The sequence below is a fragment of the Homo sapiens genome, chromosome 4 (assembly GCF_000001405.40).
Source record: "Homo sapiens chromosome 4, GRCh38.p14 Primary Assembly".
Lineage (NCBI taxonomy): Eukaryota > Metazoa > Chordata > Mammalia > Primates > Hominidae > Homo > Homo sapiens.
This window is the reverse complement of record NC_000004.12, coordinates 122,746,317-122,752,065: the sequence shown is the minus strand read 5'-3', so window position 1 is coordinate 122,752,065 and position 5,749 is coordinate 122,746,317. Positions and strand designations below refer to the sequence as shown.

Genomic DNA, 5,749 nt, shown 5'->3' with positions numbered 1-5,749 from the left:
TCTTCACATATTCTGGTTATTAATCCCTCGTCAGATGGGTAGTTTGCAAATATTTTCTCCCATTCTGTGGGTTGTCTCTTCACTTTGTTGATTGTTTGTTGTGCAGAAGCTTTTTAACTTGATGTGATCTCATTTGTCCATTTTTACTTTGGTTGCTTGTGCTTGTGGGGTACTACTCCCAGAAATCTTTGCTGAGTCCAATGTCCTGGAAATTTCCCCCAATGTTTTCTTTTAGTAGTTTAAATTTGAGGTCTTAGATTTAAGTCTTTAATCCATTTTTATTTGATTTTTGTATACAGCAAGAGATAGGGGTCTAGTTTCATTCTTCTGTATATGGATATCCAGTTTTCCTAGCACGATTTATTAAAGAGACGGTCTTTTCTCCAGAGTATGTTCTTGGCAACTTTGTTGAAAATGAGTTCACTGTGTGTGGATTTGTTTCTGGGTTCCCTATTCTGTTCCATTGGTCTATGTGTCTGTTTTTATGTCAGTACCGTTCTGTTTTGGTTATTATAGCTCTGTAGGATAATTTGAAGTCAGGTAAATGTGATTCCTCCGGTTTTTTTTTTGTTTTGTTTTGTTTTTTTGCTTAGGATAGCTTTGCCTATTTTGGGTCTTTTGTGGTGCCATATAAATGTTAGGATTGTTTTTTTCTATTTCTGTGAGGAATTTCATCGGTATTTTCATAGGGATTGCATTGAATCCATATATTGCTTTGGGTAGTATGGAGTATGAACATTTTAACAGTATTGATTCTTTCAATCCATGAACATGGAATATTTTTCCATTTTTTGGTGTCCTCTTCAATTTCATTAATCAGTTTTACAGTTTTCATTATAGAGATCTTTCACTTTGGTTGATTCCTAGATATTTAATTTTATTTGTGGCTTTATAAATGAGATTACTTTTCAATTTCTTTTTCAGATTGCCCACTGTTGGCATATAGATATGCTACTGGTTTTTGTGTGCTGATTTTGTATCCTGCAACTTTACTGAATTTGTTTATCAGTTCTAATCGTTTTTTGGTGGAGTCTTTAGATTTTTCCAAGTATAAGATCATATCATCTGCAAACAAGGATAATCTGACTTCTTTCATTCCAATTTAGATGCCCTTTATATCTTTCTCTTTTCTTATTGCTCTAGCTAGGACTTCCAGTATGTTCCTGTATGTTGAATAACAATGGTAAAAGTGGGTATCCTTGTGTTAATCTTTTTTCTTATACCAAGTTCATTTGATATTAAATGGTTTTTCTTTTTTTCCCCATGTTCAAATTACAAGGATTTTTGTATATTCCATCGAAAAGAAGACTCCTGTGAAGGAGGTGGAGATGGACCATGGTCAATTTCTCAGCTTCATGGCTCCAGGGCTTTCTCCTATTGTTAATAAAGGACTGAAAATACAGCGTTTTTATGTAACCTATCTCCGCTTGTCAAAGTCAAGTCTGGTTGGCAAGATTTTCTATCTCTAGTTCTGTGTTTTCTAGAGGTCAGTGAACCTTGTCTTCAAGATTACATTTATTTTCAGTGATTTTACTCCCCTGGATTATTCCACTGGGTCTACCACCAACCCCAGTCTAACACAAAATGATGTTTTACCATTCCCAATCTAAATCATCCTTCTCCCTATTATAAATGATCCTGCTCCGCTCTATTTTACTACTTTCCAGCAATCTTCCCCTCAAGCGTGTGAATCAGTCTTCCTGGAAGGACACATGTGCTGAATATTTCTGATATTCTTCAGGGTTTAAATCACCACAGGACATTGAATTCTCCTGCATCCACACATGCACATGCAGATGGGCTTTTGGTTGTTTTTGGTGGTGGTTGTTTTGCATTCATCCAGAATGTGTGGCCCATGAGTTAGTTCTCAAAACTGCTTACCCATATTTCCATTCAGGTAGAGTCCTCTCTTTTTGGAAGCACTTGTTAGTAATTTTGGAAACTGTAGCTCATAATAGCCTGTTGGTAACCCTTTCACTCTTGCTGCTTCCCACCTTCCTTTCTGATGATTCTGTATCTCTCCCGTTACTGGGTAGAGGGGCACATCTGCCCATATTCTGGGAATTGTAGGAATTCTACTGTTTAAATTTCTTAAAGATTATTTTTGAAGAGCTAGTTAATACCTGGTCCAAGAGGAGTTATTCATCCTTCTGAAGACAGGCTTCTCTTGGGTGAAAAAATGTAGATGTAGAATGCCAGCAAGCGTTCTTATAGTCATATTAAAAAGGCAGTTCAGTCTCACAAAGAGGTCAACACTGCTCTGGTCTTCTGGGAAATGTGTAACTGCTTATAGATAAGGTTTCCTCGAAAACCCACTTACTTACATGAACCAAATTTAGTCCAGGGACTGCCCTCAGTTTGCAAGGACAGAATAGTTCCTGGAATAGTTAAAACTTAAAGGTATTTCTTGTTATTATAAGAATTTTTTAAATGGCTAATAAACTCCATGATAGTATAAAGTTTTTTAGGATGTAGAAACAAAACAAATTAATAAAATCTCTATTAGGGTGAGACTTCTAATTTCAAAGGAAAAAATGCATGAATTTAATAAATATTTAGCACTACTAATATATGCAAGTACCAACTTCATAAAAATTCCATTATATAAACTGAATTGAACATCTGTCAATTAATATTAGTAACACTCATGATATATATATAATATTTTAACAAAAATAAGTTTTAATGTTATACAGAGGGAAAATAAAAGTATCAGTATCTACCTAGGTAAAATCATATATTTTATTTTTAAAAACAGTTTAACAGTCAACATTGCTATTATTTCAACTTAGAACAAAGACTATATGTATAACTGAGATGACTGCCTGTGCAAGGTTTTCATGTGGTCACATTTAAGACAACCACCAAAGCAAAAAAATTCATTATTTAGCACAATGCAAAATGAGATTATTTTACCATTCCCAAGCACGAAAATAATCAAGGTACATTTCTAACACATTTAAATTAGCCCTATAAATAAACCAGGCATTCTCTTTTCTTCTTGTTTTGTTGTTACCTTACAGGAAAAAAAGTTTCATATCATAATTAAGGCTTAGGGACACAGACTTCAGAGCCAATAAAATTTTGGTTCAAATTCCAGTGCTACCTCCTACTAGCTGTGAGATATTGGGCTAGTTTCTTAACCATGCTAAGCCAATTTCCTCATCTATAACATGGAGAAAATGGATGTTGCAAAGATCGAGATAATATATGTATTATGGGTTTAATTGTGACCCCGTAAATTAATATATTGAATCCCTAACTCATAGTATCTCAGAATGTGACTGTATTTGGAGATAGGGCCCTTAAAGAGGTAATTAAAATGAGACCATTGGGGTGGGCCCTAATCCAGTCTGACTGGGGTCCTTATAAGAGGAAATTTGGACACAAAAAATAGATGCCAGGGATGTGCACACACAGAAGGAAGACTGTGAGGACACAAGAAGGTAGCCATCTACAAGCCAAGGAGTAAGGCCTCAGAAGAAACAAATCCTGTCCACACCTTAATCTCAGTTTTCTTTTCATCATAACTTTGACAAAATAAATTTCTGTACCCAGTATGTGGTACTTTGTTAAAGCAGTTCTAGCTAATTAATACAGCATGTAAAGGATTTAAAACAGTTTCTGGAAAATGGTAGATAATCAGTAACTGTTACTACTATTTTAATTATTTTCCCAGGGCTCTTCTAATATTCAATTCCAAAAATTACACATGAAACTTAATTTTTAAATATTCAATTTATGGCTAGGTAGCAAAAGACAAAGAATTTGTTGGGAGAAGCAGTCCAGTATGGGCTCTGAGCATCCCTGCACATTCTTGCTGGGTATTGCCCTTTCTTTTTCTAGGCCATTTCTAAGGGTTGTGTTTGCAGGGAGAAATCTTAAGGAATGGTGTAATATCTTCCTCCTGATGAAAAATAGGCTTGCTTGTGCTTACTATAATAGTGGTGACTCATCCAAGCTTGGTGTTCCTCTCCTGTAACACAACCCACTGTGTGTGCAGACATTCATTCTGGGCTCTTTGTGTCATACAATAATATTTGGGAAACACATGGGACTGACACAAATCAACATGAAGCTCTGGATACTATAAAGTCCTATGTCTCTGACCCATGAGTCTCATGTCTTCTGCCAGCATCCCATGAAATTTTAACAGGCTAATTTGTTAGCACGTGTCTTAGTTCATTTTGTGCTGCTATAATAGAAAATTACAGACTGGGTATTTTATAGAGAACAGAAATTTATCTCCCACAGTTCTGGAGCCTGGGAAGTCCAAGATCAAGGGTTTTGATGAGGGTCCAGTCTTTGCTTCCAAGATGGTGCCTTGGATGCTGCATCCTCCAGAGAGGGAGAACACTGTGTCTTCACATGGCAGAAGGCAGAAAGACAAAAACGGACAAACACTGAATCCCCACATGGCAGAAGAGCGTGAACCCACTCCTGGAAGCTCTTTTAATAACGGCATTAATCTATTCATAAGGGTGGAGCCTTCATGAACTAGACACCTCCCATTAAGCCCCACCTCTCAATCCTGTTGCATTGGGGATTAAAACCCCACACATAAATTTTGGGGGGACACATTCAGACCAAAACATCTTGTAAGTAGGGTAAAATCTCAGACATTGCACAGTTCTTGACAATGTTGGCTAACAGAGCCATGGCTTTCTGATGTTAACGTAATTAATTGGGAGGCCAATAGACTGAGGTAGCTCTAGTACCCTGAGTTGCTACATAAACAAACTGAACCCCAAATCAGGGTGAAAGGCCCTAGCCTAGGAAAATGAAACTTAAGCATAACCTATCAGAAACTGCCAACTAAGCTCTAACTAGGGACTTTAGAAATTGCCAGTAAACCTCTCACTAGGGAATTTAAAGCTACTGCTCCACCTTAACCAATCAAATATTTTCTTTGTCTTGCCTACATGAACACATTATAAAAGTTTTCCCCTTGCATCCCTTCATTGGAGCCCCAAACTGCCTGCAGTCTGGAGTTGTTCCATTCACAAATCACTGACTGCTCAAATAAACTCTAAAATGTTAATGTACCTAAGTTTTAATACTGGAAAACAGGAAGGCCTCAATGGCTAGATTAGGAGATATGAGAAGACTCTGGGATTCAGTAGTGAATGCTCTCATTCAAGTAGTGGGAAAAGAAGAGGGGAGTAGGCTTCCCTCTTATCTGTTAATGAATGTTCAGAGGCTAAACAGTGTGAGGCAGGATTAAAACAAGACACCCAAATGGTGTCTTGGTTGTTGCTCATTCACTTCAGGGTGGGAGGCAGAAGACATTGACATGACAATGAAGCAGCATTCTCCAGAGCCCTAGAAAACAGGAAATTTGGCTGTGGCTGATGAGTCAAGGAGTCCACAAAGCTGAAACAAATGGTATCAGCAATAAGAAAATAAAACTTTGACTAGATTAAAAATACAAGTTTGTTGCTGAGTTGGGCAGTCAATCAAAACTGAAAGTATAGGCCTGTGTTGCTTAACCGAGGGGATACATTCTGAGAAATGCATCATGAGGCGATTTAATTGTTGTGTAAACATCAGAGGGTGTACTTACACAAACCAAGATGGTACAGCCTACTACAAACCTAGGCTATATGAGCCCACTGAACCTAGGCTACAAACCTGCACAGCATGTTATTGTACAGAATAACATAGGCAACTGTAACACAGTGGTAAGTATTTGTGTGTCTAAACATATCTAAACACAGAAAAGGTACAGTAAAAATATGGTATTACTGTC

At 37.1% G+C, this 5,749-nt stretch overlaps 1 annotated feature.

The window, feature by feature from the left end:
• Window positions 2,213–2,354: a transcriptional cis regulatory region, noted in NCBI's record as "candidate enhancer chr4.2649 targeted for multiplex CRISPR interference". NCBI's record gives its function as "positively regulates BBS12, FGF2 and SPATA5 gene expression with high confidence in K562 cells {active_cell/tissue: K562}" and the evidence as "EXISTENCE:mutant phenotype evidence [ECO:0000015][PMID:30612741]".